Here is a 16,474-nt window from a genome sequence, read left to right on the forward strand (position 1 = left end):
ATCCTCCTACCTCAGCTTTCTAAGTAACTGGGATTACAGCTGCATGCCACCACGCCCAGCCCCATTATGAAAAGTTTTCATTGACTTATACCTGTATCGTTTTTTTCTTTCAATAATTTTGGTATGAATGTATCTCTTTTTAAGATGAAGAAAACTTTCCCTAGAAATGTCTTCCCTCCTCCCTGGGCATTCTTCTCAACAGCTGACTTCCCTTTCATATTATTAGCTAAAATTGTACCATATGCCCATTTAAACCAATATTTTGTGAGGGTATGGGCCCACCATGATTGACTTAGACAATCACAATTTATCTCCTGGGACTGAGGTTGGAGCCTAGCACCCTTCAAGCACATGGCCAAGCATATTCAGTGTGGTTACTTGTCAAGCTAACAAGGTAGAAGAGAGAGCCTACTTCTAGAATAGGCTATCAGCGGGATCTCCCACGCCATGCTAAGGAATTTGGACCATATCTCATTGGAATAAGAAACTACTATGGGATCACAGGATGGGCTAAAAAAATAATAAGGAACTTCTGGAAGAAGGTACTTCTGGAATAGGCTGTCAGTGGGATCTGCCACACCATGCTTAGGAATTTGGACTATATCTCGTCAGAATAAGAAACTACTATGGGACCACAAGATGGGCTAAAAAAAAATAAGGAACTAGTGAAGGATTTTAGATCAGGAAGTAGCATGATGAGGTTTCCCAATGGTAACAGAATCAAGGGGCACTCAGGAGGGGCATGGGTCTGGGGGCAGGGCCACCAGTTGGAAGGCTTCATTAGAAGATCTTGGAGAGGATTTTAGGCAGTTGAATTAAGCACCCCTAGTGACTCATTGGATGGAAAGGGAGAAAGAAAGTTAGAAGGAAGATATTCTAGGATGACTCCCATACAGGTTCCTGCTCTGGTGAATCACAGGGTATTTTGTCAAGATGGAGAATATGGATGGAGGAGGTTTGGGTGGATATGATGAGAGTGGAGAGATAATGAGTTTATTTGGGACAATGGGGTGCCTGAAAGACAGGTGAAGAGAGATGGGTAAACTTGGAAGGGAGAGTGTAGACCACATGACACTCCTCCAAATTCCTTTAGAGGGTAGGGTGGGATGGAGTGTGGAGGGAAGGAGAATCCACAAGGGGAAATGAAGCAAAGCAAACAACTAGCACCTAATATGGGACCTGTTGGGCTGATTTTGCTCAGGGCTGGGCATCAAGCACATCTGGAGAAAAATTGCAAATGTAATTGTAAGGCAAGCCTTTAAAGAGCAGTTAAAAACCTGTTTTGAAACATAGGTTTCTATAACTTGTTGCAACATGTTGAGTTACAGCAAATGAAATAGAGAAATACTCTCAGTGCTTTTTAATTTGCCCTGCTGACTGGAAACCTCGGAACTCAGCCCTATGAGCTGTTAACCAGATAAGCATTGCTGGTTTTTGTAAAGAATTATGCTTGACAAATGCTTGAGGGCATATGGATTTATTGAAGGAAGTATTGTCCAAACCAGACTGACAAAGAAAGTTTTACAAAGAAAATATAATGAAAAAATGTTGGGATTAAAATGTAGGTCTTTTCTGTTTTATGATGTAGTTATGAAATGTAAATTAGAGGATGTTTCAATGAACTTTTGAATTATAAGTTAATATAGTTCATAAACCATAGGAATTAAGTACTATTTTAAAAATAGGAATTATACTTCCACTCAAAAACACCTATTTTGTGGAACACTAAAGTTTGAAATATATATGTATAGAGATTAGACTTAGAACTCACAGAAGGTAAATTCAAGAAATTTTTAAAAATTACTCCAAAACATTATTTTAGTTCTTTCCATATCTATTTTGTTCTAGGAACTGAACTGGGTTCTGAAATAATAAAAATAACTGGTATCTGTATAATGTTGTGGTTAATCCCAACTTTATGCAACTATTCTATTCAATGTGGTTTCTGGGGGTCCAGATAAAATATAACACTTGAAGCAGAGTGGGGATTGAGGGACAGAGAAAAAAAAACTGAGAACTGAGAATTGAAGAAGAAAGGCAAATTAGGAAGTTCAACAAGGTTAGGAGAGTAGTGGAGCCAAAAAAACAATAGTCATGAGAACTGAATATAGAAACTGGACAATGGCTAGATCTTATATGACAATTAGAACTCTGACCCACAACCTCTACAGCAACCAGCCGAGAATAATCAGGACTTGGTCAATGACTCAGTTTCCCTGTTTTTTGCCGCCTCCTTTCTTCAACTCAGAACCCACTAAAGACAGCCAAATATGCTACCTACCCCAAACCAATCACCTAAGAGACACTACTTTTGTTAGCCCACCTCCAGCTTTCCCATGCTAATACCCTCAAGTCAGAGTATACATGAAACCTTCCCTTTTTGTTCACTACTAAGCTTTCCTGGCCAGGTGCAGCTGCTCATCCCTGTAATCCCAGCACTTTGGGAGGCTGAGACAGGAAGACTGCTTGAGCCCAGGAGTTCAAGACCAGCCTGGACAACATAGTGAGACTCCATCTCTACAAAGAATTAAAAAAAAATAAGCTGGGCATGGTGGCACGTGCCTGTAGAGCCAGCTACTCAGGAGGTTGAGGTGGGAGGATCGCTTGCTCAGGAGGTCGAGGCTGCAGTGAACCACGATCGCACCACTGCACTCCAGCCTGGATGACAACAGAGTGAGACCCTGTAGGTAATTAAGTAAGTAAGTAGTTTTCCTAATGTCCTGACAGGCTTTGAGTCGGCCAAATGCAAGTGATGGTGACTGACTCCCTTGTCATAGTAAGCTTTGAATAAATAAAGCATTTGGGTGGTCTTCCTCCCCGATCCCCCCCATTCATTCATTTGCTTATTAATTATACATTAGTTGTGTTTTATCTGCCAGGCAGTGGCCAGTATTGGGAATATGTGGAAGCAAATAGTCCCTGCCTTCAAGGATATTCTGTCTAGTGGGACAGACAGACAGACATATACGTATAATAGTAATTCAACGTGCTAAGTGAAACAATAGGCATGTATAAAAAAGGTGTAGTAGGTCAAGTAGGGCTTTTAGGGGAAGGCGACCCTTAAGATGGGTGGTAAGGGATGAGTAGGAGGTGATTTGGCTAAGAGGCTGGGACGGTTATTCAAGGCAGGTGGAGGGGCAGAATGAGCAAAACAGGACGCGTTGCTGGAGCGTGGTAAGGAAGGCAAGTAGCGGCAGAGGACGGCGGTAGGGCGGATCGTGGGGCGCAATGGATGTGCCACGTTGGAAAGAGCTTGGACTTTATGCCGTCCTCCTGGAAATGAGATAACGGCTGGTGTAAGCAAGAAAGAAACACACACACACCCACGCGCGCGCGTCGTTTCCTTTGTGTTACTGTAAGGTCAAGGAGGGCGGCGACACAGAAATTCATGATGACTGGCATAAGCAGACATTCAATGAATGAATGAATGGACATAAGCACTTTGGTGTAAACGTCATTGTCTTCGATTTCTGTTTTCTCACGGGGCAAGACAGTGAGGTCGGGGCATCAGTTTGGGAGGTGATAGGGAAGGTTTAAGGTGAGAGAACTGCCATTCTGGTAGGGAGGGTCAGTGGGCACAAAACCAACAATAGGTTATGGGCAAGGGATGCGCTTCGGTCGCGAACACCCTGAACCCACCTACCGGAGCTACTCTGTCCCAGGAGCGGCCGTGGAGAAAGCAACCAGCCGAGAGTTCGCGCCCCAGGGAGGGAAGCGGGCACAGGGCCGCCCAGCGCCACTCACCTGTGAGCTCTCCGCGGGCCCTGCAGGCGGAGCCTCGGTACGACGCCTTTCCGATTGGGCGCGGCTCAAAGTCCCGGGGCGGGCATCAGAGGCCGAGCGCTCTAGGGGATTGGCCACCCTGGCGGACGGACGTGCTGCTGACCGAGCTGGTTCGCCCCCGGTTCGGCTCGTGGAGAGCCGGCCCCTCCGTGAGTCTTCTGTCAGTCATTGGCTCCCTGCGGTTTCCTTGGGGACGTGGCGCCGCCGCCGGCCGGGCCCTCCTTCCGGCTGGGCAAGGGGCCGCGGGGAGCAGCTCGGGACTGAACCGAGAGGTGCCGAAGGAACCGGCGGGCCGCTTGATCCCGTGAGTGTGGGCGCGAGAGGGCTGTGGGACCCGGAGGGACGGGGAGAGGAAGCGGGACCCACACCCCGCCACCTGGGGACGACCGGTTCCTAGAGGACAGAGCTGGCCCACGAGAACGCCCCGCTCCCAGGATGCCCGGGTAGGGTCCCCTGGGCCTGAGGAACCAGAGCAGACGGAGCGGGAGCCTGGGGAGGAGGTGGGAGCCGTGGAATTCCCGTGCAGGTTTGTCTCGTGGGCTCAGTCGGACAGAAGCCTGAAATCAAATCTTTCTAGGCTGCAGACGTAGGAGATGCCTGGGACAAGGAGGCCACCTTCTCAGGGCAAAAGAAAAAGAAGGTGACAGGCGTTGAGACCACCGAAGGGAACCCATGGCTAGGTAAGGCTGCACACTTTCCCTCCGGCTGGGAGCACGGCAGAGGATGGCAGGCAGGTTGGGGGGCCCTGGGAGGCTGTCCCAAGTGAGGTTTGCCCTGGAGCTGCACTTGGACTTTGTATTCTGGTTAGTTGGATGCAGAGACGATCAAAGTTGTATTATTTCGAGGGCTGATAAATAATAGTTTCTAGCCCATAGACCAGGAGTGGTAGAGTGAGTCGGCTTGCTCAGCTCTGTAAAGTGCAAGGTTGTAACATTGATTCAGATTCGCATCTGAGCAAGGCTAGGTGCCACTTGAGGAGGTTAAACAAAGAAGTTTTTTTGTTTTTTGTTTGCAGTGAACTTTAAAAGCAGACAGACCGAGGTCCTTTTGAATCAATATACAAAGTGAACTTCACAGATGAATACACTTATCCATACATTATAATAACCTGAAGCTTTTAAAAAATATTAATGTGGATCTACATGCACCAATAAGGGAAAGTTATAAAATAAAGTGGGGGAAAGATGCAGAACAGCAGGTATGGTGGACTACCATTTGTGTAAAACCGAGGGAATGGATACGCACACACACACACACACACACACACACACACACACAGAGATATATTACTGTAAATATATTGGTGTATATTTATGCTTGTGTATCCGTAGAATATCCCTGGAAAGATACACAGCAACGGCCAGGTGCAGTAGCTCACGCCTGTAATCCCAGCACTTTGGGAGGCCAAGGCAGGCAGATCACCTGAGGTCAGGAGTTCAGGACCAGCCTGGCCAAGTAGAAACCCGGTCTCTACTAAAAATACGAAAATTAGCCGGGTGTGGTGGCAGTCACCTGTAATCCCAGCTACTGGGGAGGCTGAGGGAGAAGAATCGCTTGAACCCAGGAGGTGGAGGTTGCAGTGAGCTGAGATTGCGCTACTACACTCCAGCCTGGGCAACAGAGCAAGACTCCATCTCAAAAAAAAAAAAAATTACACAGCAACTGGGTAGTAATGTTTGCCTCTGAGAGATTGTGGGGTCAGGGCAAGAATCACTTTTCACTATACAATATATCCTTTTAAACTGATTTGTCTTTTACTATGTGCTTGTATAATCTGGTAAAACATTTTTAAAATCAGTTAAATAAATTTTCTGACCATCCTGTTTCTTGACAGAATTCTTGGTTGGGAATACTGTAGTTGCTCTGATTCTCCAATGTTATGAGGTTGCCCAGGGAGACTGGTGATCTTTTCACTAACATGAGATTAAGTCTTTGAATTGCACTCAAAGTGCAGTTTGGAAAAAGGGCAGATAAGGCTTTTCTGATATATATAGTAGAAGCACCATGAGCTTCTTCTAAAATTAGAGATGACAAGAACATTTAGACTTCTGTTGGCATGGATTTTTGCCTTTATTAGGAGGGTTTTATCCAATTTTAAAACGATATTTAAGCACTCAGTTGTAGAAATGTTTCAGACTTACTAATGTTTGTCTAATTTCAGGATCAGTTTTTCCTACCTCTGCCCAGCCTCCTGGTACTTCACTGTGCCCACAGTGAGTCCATTTCTCCGTCAGCGGGTGGCATTCCTGGGACTCTTCTTCATATCCTGTCTCCTTTTACTTATGTTAATCATAGACTTTCGACATTGGAGTGCTTCATTACCACGAGATAGGCAATACGAAAGGTGAGTCAGCTTTAGATTTTGGCACTCAAGTCATAAATATTTTCATAAGCTGTTTAACACACTACTGACTTTGACCCTTTTGGGTGATACTGTACTTTTATTAGTAAAATTGCATGCCATTTATTACATAAAGAAGATTTTAAGCCCTATTTTGGCAATATGCAGTTTGGTACAGGAATACTGATACTGCATGAAAGGCATCTTTGTGTTTTCTTGTTTTGGTGGGCTGAAACTTATTGTGTGTATAAATGTTTAGGACTGTATTATACCTTTATGAATGGACCCCTTTATCATTATTAAATGATTTTCTTTATCCTTGATTATATACTTTGCTCTGAAATCTACTAGTCTGGTATTAATATAGCTACTCCAACTTTCTTTTGATTAACATTAGCATGACAGATATTTCTTCTATAGTTTTAGTTTTAGCCTATTGGTGTCTTTATATAAGTGGGCTTCTTGTAGTCAGTGTTTGGTTGGGTCTTGTTTTTTTATCCAATCTGACTATCTCTGCAGTTAATTGGGGTGTTCGGGCCATTTATATTTAATCTGATTATTTAGTATGTTTAGTTTTAATCTTGCTATGTGTTTTTCATTTGTCACATTTGTTCTTGTTCTTTTTCCTCTTTTTCCCTCTTCTTTTCAGTTGAGCACAGTTTTTATGTTTCCATTTTATCTCTCATGTTGGCTTATTAGATATAACTTCTTCTTTTTTTAGTGGTTACTTTAAAGTTTATAGTGTCATCTTTAATTATCACAATCTTCCTTCAAGTAATATTACTCCTCTTCACATCTAGAACAAGAACCTAACAACAGTATACTTTCATTCCTCCCTTCCCCTTGGTCTTTCTGCTACTGTCATGTATTTTATTTCTACATGTTATAAGCTCCACAATATATTGTTATTATTTTTGTGTTAGTCAATTGTCTTTTGAAGAGATTTTCAATATAAGAAAAAAAGGCTTATGTATTTAACCATATTGTTGCCTGAAAGGGTCATATAAGCAAAGTGACCCTTGAATGCTGAAGGGACGGAGAAACCAAAGGAGGAGGCAGGCAAATTGTTCGTTGGTATTCATTGATTTATTGAGGGAATTTGCAGACAGAAGCGTGGCCCTGGGTAGCTGCAAGACAGATAGATCTCCATACTGTTACTCCCCAGACCCAGGGCTTATATAGTACAGGGAGATGGTATATGCACCCTGTGCAAGACAATTAAAGACAGCCCTCCAGAACAGGTAAGAATGCTGCATGTGCCATATCCTGTCATTTGTGTGCCAACACCAAGGTTGACATGTTCTTACAGTAGTAAATAAAGCAGGAATCAAGAGGCATTTACGGGACTGAGGCTAGTCAGAAGTCAATGTGGCAGATTAACATCCAAGATGGAGTCACTTTTGTCTATATTTACCATTTCTGGTCTGCTTCATTCCTTTGTGTAGATCCATATTTCCATCTGGATCCATATTTCCATATTTGCTTTTACCTCAAGAACATTCTCTAGCATTTCTAGTAGAGCAAGTATGCGGTGATAAATTCTTTCAACTTTTATATGACTGAAAAAGTCCCTATTTTGCTTTCCTTTTGAAAGAAATGTTCATTGGGTATAGAACTCTAGGTTGATCATTTTTTTTCCTTTCATTACTTTAAAGATGATGCTTCACTGTCTTTTGGCTTGCATTCTTTCTGAGATGTCTGCTGTCCTTTTAATCTTTGTTCTCTCTGTATAGAATGTATCTTTTTCCTCTGAATACTTTTAGAATTTTCTGTTTATCACTGGTTTTAAGCAATTTGATTGTGATGTGCTTTGATGTTGTTTTCTACATGATTTTATTTGTTTTTTTTTTTTTTTGAGACTATCTCGCGCATCTCCCAGGTTGGAGTGCAATGGTGCAATCATAGCCCGCTGCAGCCTCAATCTCCTGGGCTCAAGCTATCTTCCTGCCTCAGCCTCCCGAGTAACTGGGACTACAGGCATATGCCATCATACCTGGCTAATTTTTTTGATTTTTAGTAGAAGTGAGGTCTCGCAGTGTTGCTCAAGCTGGTCTCAAACTGCTGAGCTCAACCTATCCTCCTGCCTCGGCCTCCCAAAGTGCTGGGATTACTGGCATGGGTCACCGTGCCCTGCTTACCTGATTCTTGTGCTTGTGATTTGTTGATTCTTGGATCTATGGATTTGTAGTTTTAATCAAATTTGGAAACATTTTGTCCATTACTTCTTCAGATTTTTGTTGTTGTTGTTCTCCCCTGCTTTTCCTCTGGGGACTCCAGTAACATGTATATTGAACTATGTGATGTTTTCCCACAGCTCACTGATGTTCATTTTTTTTCCAGTCTTTTTTCTCTCTGTGTTTCATTCGTATATTTTTTTGCTGCTTTCAAATTTGTTAGTATTTTTTTCTGTAGTGTTTAATCTACTGTTCTATCCAGTGAAAGTTTGACATCTTTTTTCACAGATAGTACATCTGAATTATTTTATATACTTTTAGCTATACCAGTTGCACAGAAGGTCTATATTTCTTTATAGCAGTGATTCATTTTGCTATTTTTTTGAGATTAGTTTTTGATGAAGCTACAAAATTAAATAATGGCATGTTATGTTCATTATCTTCAACATGATTTTCTTATTAAAAAATTTTTTTCTTTAGAGACAGAGTCTCACTCTGTCACCCAGGCTGGAGTACAGTGGTGCGATCATAGCTCACTATAACCTTCAATTCCTGGGTTCAAGCAATCCTCCTGCCTTGGCATCTCAAAATGCTGGGATTACAGATGTGAGCCACTGTGCCTGGCCTCATTTTTAAAATATTTACATTTTCTTTTTTTTTTTTTTTTTGAGACAGAGTCTTGCTCTGTTGCCCAGGCTGGAGTGCAGTGGCGCTGTCTCAGCTCACTGCATCCTCTGCCTCCCGGGTTCAAGTGATTCTCCTGCCTCAGCCTCCTGAGTAGCTGGGACTGCAGGCACATGCCACCATGCCTGGCTAATTTTTTGTATTTTTAATAGAGATGGGGTTTCACTGTGTTAGCCAGGATGGTCTCGATCTCCTGACCTTGTGGTCTACCCACGTTGGCCTCCCAAAGTGCTGGAATTACAGGCGTGAGCCACCATGCCTGGCCTAAATTTTCTTTTTATTGCTTCTCAGATATGTATTAGTTAAGAGGCTTTGGGCTGCAAATAACAGCCCACATTGACTTAAACAATAAGAATGCTCACATACCTGGAAGTCCAGGGGTAGAAGGACTACAAGTTCAACACTGGCTGACAGGATGAGAGGCTCTGTCTCTCCTGTCTGTTGTCCACAGTGTCAGTTTACTTAATGGTTGAAAAACAGCAGACTGCCGGGCATGGTGGCTCACGCCTGTAATCTCAGCACTTTGGGAGGCGGAGGCAGGTGGATTGCACGAGCTCAAGAGTTCGAGACCAACCTGTGCAACATGGTGAAACTCTGTCTCTACAAAAAAATATAAAAATTAGCCAGGCATGGTAGCATGCACCTGTAGTCCTTGCTTCCCAGGAGGCTGAAGTGGGAGGATCACTGGAGCCTGGGGAGGTAGAGAATGCAGTGAGCTGGGATCACGCCATTGTACTCCAGCCTGGGGGACAGAGTGAGACCCTGTCTCAAAGAAAAAAAAAAAAAGAGAAGAAAAACAGCAGACAGTAGCAACCAGGGCAGCATATATATTCACTTATGTCCCGTAGGAGACAGAAAGGCTTTCCATGACTCTCTTCTAAGAATGGAGAAGAGCCTTGCCAGAAACCTCTAACAACCATTTCCTGGAATCTTTTTTGGTCAGAATTGGGACACATGCCTACCCTCCTTTTTATTTCTGGATTCTGTCCCCAGATTTTCTCATTTCCCATTCACTTTGGTCATTCATTCATTCATTCATCATTCATTCATTCATTCAACAAAAATTTGAGCAGCCACTATGTGCAGACGATAATAGGCATCAGACACCAGATACAGAGACTTTGGTACATTTTCTCAAGAAGCTTATGTTTTCAGCCTTGCCTTCTTCTAGCAGCCCAATTCATTTGTATTTTTGGCTTGCTTTTCTTTTTTTTTTTTCTTTTTAAACGTTACTGAAATAGAGATGGAGGTCTCACTATGTTGCCCAGGCTGGTCTTGAACACCTGGGCTCAAGCGATCCTCCTGCTTTGGCCTCCCAGAGTGTTGGGATTGCAGGCATGAGTACCATGCCAGCCTCGACTTTCTTTTCCTTTCCAGAAGAGGAAACACTGTTTGGATGATTATAGTAATCAACAACTGCCCTTAAGAAATGTACTAAATTTGGAGACCTAAATCCATAATTTGAGTTTGTTTAATGCTTATGGAATTTTCTTGACAGACCTGCGCATAGTTTCTCACTTGAAGACGACATGGTCTAATTATGGACTTCCATGTAGGTTAGTTAATATGGCTAAAGACAATTAGGGAGTGAATGGTGAGCTGTATGGCTGGAGAGCTAGATCAAGCTGAGTCTGTTAAGCTATTTTAGAGGGTTTAGGCATTACCCTCAGGGCAGAAGGAAGGCTTTGAAAGGTTTTGAAGAGTGAAAAGGTTGGAACTGCTTTTTAATTTTTTTTTTTTTTGAAACAGAGTCTCACTCTGTCACCCAGGCCGGAGTGCAGTGGCGCTATCTCGGCTCACTACAACCTCCGCCTCCCAGGTTCAAGCAATTCTCCTGCCTCAGCCTCCCAAGTAGCTGGGATTACAGGCATGTGGCACCATGCCCAGCTAGTTTTTGTATTTTTTAGTAGAGACGGGGTTTCACCATGTTGGCCAGGCTGGTCTCGAATCCCTGGCCTCAAGTAGTCCACCTGCCTCGGCCTCTCAAAGTGCTGGGGTTACAGGCATGAGCCATCGTGCCCAGCCAGAACTGCTTCTTAAAGAAAGCTCACTTTGGTGGGATTGTGGAAAAAGAATTGGAGAGGAATGAAAAAGAAAGCAGGAAGAGTAATTGAACTAGAGATGCTCCTTGACTTATGATGGGTTATGTAAATTGAAATATCATAAGTTGAAAATGCATTTAATACACCTAACCTAACAAATGTCATAGCTTAGCCTAGCCTACTTTAAAGGTGCTCAGAACATTTACATTAGCCTACTGTTGTGCAAAACCACCTAACAGAAGGCATATTTTATAATAAAGTATTGAATATCTCATGTAATTTATTGAATACTGTACTGAAAGTGAAAAACAGAATGGTTGTGTGGATACTCACGGTATACTTTCTACTGAATGTGCATCACTTTTGCACCATCATAAAGCTGAAAAATCATAAGTTGTACCATTGTAAGTCAATGACTGTACCTCAATAGAGAGATGGTTGTGGTTGCAAGAGGATGGAGAGAGGTAAAAGCATTTAAATGTATGTGGGTGGCAGAGTGATCTGATAATTCTTGTCTATCACTGTATCCCAAGTGGTCAGAGCCAATAAATACTTGGTAGGTTGAATTAATTGAAACAAGTTAGCAATAGAGCTGAGGAACACATAGACTGTGCCACTGTGGCGACCTCACCAAAGTCCTAACACCCTGGAATGCTGTGGCTCAGAGCTCATTGTTACTTAATGAAAGGTTCTGTATATATTGCCACAAATGACCATTTATCATTAAACTTCACTCAGGGCAGCCTCCATGAGTCATTTAAGAGGCAAACATTTATTGAGGGTTTGCTGTGTCGATGACTCTATGATAGCACTGGAGTACAAAGATGACTAAACATAGCCCCTGAACTCAAGGAGTTCGTAATCTAGTTAGAGAGGCAGGCATAAAGGAAAAATTATTTCCCAGTGAGATAATAGTTTAGGTACGGTTGTATAGAATCAGGAGTGAAGAATCAGGAACTATGTACAAGGTTAAGAATTAGGAACAAAGCTAAGAATCAGAAATTAAACAGAAGAAGTTCTTGAGCAACCAAATTTGATATCACTAAGTTCATGTGCTAAAAGCACCTGTACTTTACTGATAAGATAGGCTCTCACATAAAGCCTGTTAGCTTTTATTTTACACACTGTTCTCATTTGCATGGTTCTCACTTGTCTCAGAACACAGTAGATAACAGCAAATTGGAATGGTGGGTGGGGTGTGTTGTTAGATGTGGGCACATTATGACAATAATCAGTTATATCTGGCATCTTGACAGTGAAGCAGGAGAGAGGAAATTTAATAAAGATAGACTCAATAACTCAAAATTTCTACAGACAGTTTCTATAGTGGTAAACAGTTCTACATATGTTGTTAAAACTGTTTTATTACATAGTCTAAAAATTTATGTTAATGAAATGATAATCTTTTTTTTTTTTTTTTTTTTTTTGAGACAGAGTCTCACTCTGTTGCCCAGGCTGGAGTGCAGTGGCATGATCTCAGCTCACTTCAACCTCCACCTCCCAGGTTCAAGCGATTCTCATGCCTTAGCCTCCCGAGTAGCTGGGATTACAGGTGCGCACCACCATGCCCGGCTAATTTTTGTATTTTTAGTAGAGACAGGGTTTCACCATGTTTGCCAAGCTGGTCTCAAACTCCTGGCCTCATGTGATCCACCCACCTCAGCCTCTCAAAGTGCTGGGATTACAGGCGTGAGCCACCATGCCTGGCCATTAATGATAATTTTAAATCAGAGGTTTTCAACCTTTGTGTATCTAAATCACTTGGGGACCTTTAGAAAAATGCAAATAATTGGGACTCTTCTCAAGGTGAATCTAATATACCACCTGGGTTGAGAAAAACTGCTTTAAGATTTGGTTACATTTACTTAAGGAGGTATTGTGAGGTAAGGGAAAGAATGTTAATATTAGAGTTAATCAGCCCATCATTTGCTAGTTGGGTAATCTTGGGCAGGTTTCTTAATATCCTGGAATTTCATATTCTTTATATATAAAGTGAGAATAAAAATAGCTGTCTTTTAGTCTTGTCATTTGCATAAGAAGAGTAGAGCATCTAGGAATGTCAGGTGCATTGATTGACTAATCAAATGTCAATCTATTATTTGAAATAATCTTGATTTTTCTGTTTTCCAATTCTCTTCTCTGCCTGAAAATATACACTGAAGATAATGGGCGTTATAATCTCTATTTAAAATTTTGATGAAATGATTAAGCAAGTAACTAGGAATTGGTAGAAACACTTGCTACCTTAATTTAACAGCTTAAAAAAGTTTTAACACAAGCGCCTGTAGTTGTGATTTTTTTATATTATATTCATATATAGACATATTTTTTCTACTTAAATTGTTCCTAATTCACACAGTGAAATTATATCCGTACTTTGTGGTGTCCCTCAGAAAGTGTGCTGTCTTCCAGGAACCCACTTACACGTGTCTTCATGGGAGCAAGTTTGCAAACCTTTGATCAGGAAAATGTGCCTAGAGGAACACTACATGCATTCTTTATTTTATTTTATATATCTTTTTTTTTTTTTTTTGTAGAGACAGTGTCTCCCTATGTTGCCAAGCGTAGTCATGAACTCCTAGGCTCAAGCAATCCACCTGCCTTGGCCTCGCAAAGTGCTGGGATTACAGATGTGAGCCACTGTCCTAGGCCCATTCATTGTTTTATGGTCTTGACAAATAAGGCATTGCTTTAATTAGAAATGATAGTCTCTCTTGCACATTGCATCTTTGTATTTTAATATATATGAAAGCAGTTAATGTTTAAAATATTTTAATTACTTTTGCATTGAAAACAGATATTTCAATGTGAACTTTTTATAGGCATTGGTGGAATTTAACATATCACTTTTCAGGGGATATTAACCAGGACTTTAGAAGCCTGTCAGGGGGTTTTCTCTCAGTAGTTCCAGAACTAAAGACTTACATTTTTTTTCTTTATTGTGAACATGTATCCATATTGCTTCTGGAAAGAGAGAGTAGGAAGTTTGCATCAAAACTAGAATTTATTTGATACAAAAAAAGTAAATTTAGAGAGATGGGGTGTCAGTAAGGATAGAATCCAAAACTGTGTTTTTTTTAATACACTTTTTTTAGAGCCATTTTAGTTTTACAGCTCATTTGAGCTGAAGGTGCAGAGATTTACCACATATCCCCTGACCCTACACATGCACAGCAGAGCTGTTTTTGAGAATAATACTTGTGTTAGATGTGTGGTTTTTTTTTTTTTTTTTTTTTTTTTTTGAGACAGAGTCTTGCTCTGTCGTCCAGGCTGGAGTGCAGTGGTGCGATCTCGGCTCACTGCAAGCTCCGCCTCCCGGGTTCACGCCATTCTCCTGCCTCAGCCTCCCAAGTAGCTGGGACTACAGGCACCCGCCACCAGGCCCAGCTAATTTTTTGTATTTTTAGTAGAGACGGGGTTTCACCGTGTTAGCCAGGATGGTCTTGATCTCCTGACCTCATGATCCACCCGCCTCGGCCTCCCAAAGTGCTGGGATTACAGGCGTGAGTCACTGCGCCCGGCCGAGATGTGTGTTTTAATCAACTATTTTTCTGGCATGTGCCACATAAGACATGCTCCAATATTTTCTTCAGACTCAATACATATCTTATATCCATTTATTCATTTATCTGTTTACTTATTCAACAATTATCGAGTGTCTACACTGTGGTATCAAATAGGGTAGTCACTACCCACAAGTGGCTAATTAAATTTAAATTAATTAAGATTAAATGAAACAAAATTCAGTTCCTCACTTGGACTGGGCACATTTCAAATGCTCAGTGGCCACATGTGGATATATGGGACAGTGCAGATAGAGAACATTTTCATCATTTCACAGAGTTCTGTTGACAGTGCTAAGTGTACCATGTTTTAATTTCTGCTGTGGATGCTGGGTAATTGTTAAAATTTATTAATTTTTCATACAGTCGTGTGTTATATAATGATTGGGATATGTTCTAATAAATGCATCATTAAGTGATTTCATCATTGTGTAAACATCATAGAATACTTACACAAACCTAGATGGTACAGCCTACTACACACTGAGGCTGTGTGGTGTATACGCTCCTAGCCTACAAGCCTGTACACATGTTGCTGCACTGAATACTATAGGCAACTGCAACACAATGGTAAGTATTTGTGTATCTAAACATATATAAAAATAGAAAAGGTCCAGTGAAAATATGGTATCAAAGATAAATTGGGTCTGGTATGGTGGCTCATGCCTGCAGTCCCAGTACTTTGGGAGGCTGAAGTGGGCAGATCTCTTGAGCCCAGGAGTTCCAGACCAGCCTAGGTAATAACATGGTGAAACCTCATCTCTACAGAAAATTTAGAAATTAGCTGGGTGTGGTGGTCCATGCCTGTAGCCCCAGCTACTTGGGTGGCGGAGGCGGGAGGATCACTTGAGCCCAGGAGGCCAAGGCTTCAGTGAGTCGTAATTGCTCCGCTGCACTCCATCCTGGGCAACAGAGCAAGACCCTGTCTCAAAAATAATAATAATAATAATAATAAAATAAATTGTACACCTGTATAGGGCACTTACCATCAATGGAGCTCACAGAACTGGAAGTTTCTCAGAGTGAGTGAGTGGTGAGTGTGAAGGCCTCGGACATTACTGTAGAATTTATAAACACTGTACATTTAGGCTACACTAAATTTATTTAAAAATTATTTAAAAATTTTTTTCTTTCTTCAATAATAAATTAACCTTAACTTACTGTAACTTTTCCACTTTCTAAGCTTTGAAATTTTTAAAAACTTTTTGACTGTTTTGGACTAACACAACTTAAAACACAAACATATTGTAAAGCTATAGGGAAATATTTTCCTTATAGTATTCTTATTCTATAAGTTTTCTTCTATTTTTAAAAACTTAAAGTTTTTTTTCCTTTTAAAACTTATTTGTTAGAAATGAAAACAGAAACACACACATTAGCCTAAGCCTGCACAGGATCAGGATCATCAAGACATCATTAAGTAATAGGAATTTTTTCAGTTCCATTATAATCTTATGGGACCACTGTTGTACATGTGGTTTGCTGTTGACTGAAACGTCATTATGCAGTGCGTGACTGTGTAAGAGGAACTTCTAGCATGTATACATAGTGTACAAGACACTGTGGTAAACTGTTCTTAAATGTTCTGTTTAATACCTTTCCTTTTTCACATTCATGTTTAATATTGTTCACTTTTTGGTAGCCTCACTGTTATCTTCATTAGTGGGTAAAATTTTGTCTGGTTGAACTATTGTCTGAAGAATGTCTTTTGTAGCTATTGAAAGGTGGTGCCTTCATGTTCCTTTACCATCTGGAAATAACTGAATGAGAGGTTCTGTGTCAGCAATTGGCTTGGTACTGGCCTTCCATAGGTGTTTCAATTCTGTTTAATTAAAGCAAGTCAAAGAGAAGCATTGCTTTTGGTTAGAATGCTCTTTAGCATATACA

The 16,474-nt window shown here is 41.3% G+C and overlaps 2 protein-coding genes across 6 annotated transcripts in view, besides 2 other annotated features; one reads left to right on the forward strand and one right to left on the reverse strand.

Annotated features, from left to right (window-relative positions):
* The window catches only part of SLC25A28 (solute carrier family 25 member 28), a 48,765-nt gene extending 44,980 nt beyond the window's left edge, over positions 1-3,785 (reverse strand). For 2 of the 3 annotated variants that reach the window (XM_006718005.5, XM_024448223.2), the window contains exon 1: positions 3,745-3,785. The gene's annotated coding sequence lies outside the window, so the exon portion shown is untranslated. Of the gene's footprint in view, positions 1-3,643 lie in introns of all 3 variants that reach the window. The other variant, XM_024448222.2, reaches the window with a different exon arrangement.
* Positions 3,687-3,896: a silencer, noted in NCBI's record as "silent region_2696". NCBI's record gives its function as "represses an Ori minimal core promoter by ATAC-STARR-seq in GM12878 lymphoblastoid cells {active_cell/tissue: GM12878}" and the evidence as "EXISTENCE:reporter gene assay evidence [ECO:0000049][PMID:35858748]".
* ENTPD7 (ectonucleoside triphosphate diphosphohydrolase 7) overlaps positions 4,008-16,474 on the forward strand; it is a 51,733-nt gene continuing 39,266 nt past the window's right edge. The window contains exons 1-4 of one of the 3 annotated variants that reach the window (NM_001349962.2): positions 4,008-4,087; positions 4,361-4,463; positions 4,799-4,981; positions 5,945-6,127. In NM_001349962.2, coding sequence (NP_001336891.1) covers positions 4,968-4,981; positions 5,945-6,127 — 197 coding nt within the window. In that variant the 5' untranslated portion in view covers positions 4,008-4,087; positions 4,361-4,463; positions 4,799-4,967. Of the gene's footprint in view, positions 4,088-4,127; positions 4,227-4,360; positions 4,464-4,798; positions 4,982-5,944; positions 6,128-16,474 lie in introns of those variants that run through there. The other 2 variants (NM_020354.5, NM_001349963.2) reach the window with 2 other exon arrangements.
* Positions 4,017-4,236: a silencer, noted in NCBI's record as "silent region_2697". NCBI's record gives its function as "represses an Ori minimal core promoter by ATAC-STARR-seq in GM12878 lymphoblastoid cells {active_cell/tissue: GM12878}" and the evidence as "EXISTENCE:reporter gene assay evidence [ECO:0000049][PMID:35858748]".

This window comes from Homo sapiens, chromosome 10 (assembly GCF_000001405.40).
Source record: "Homo sapiens chromosome 10, GRCh38.p14 Primary Assembly".
Taxonomy (NCBI): domain Eukaryota; kingdom Metazoa; phylum Chordata; class Mammalia; order Primates; family Hominidae; genus Homo; species Homo sapiens.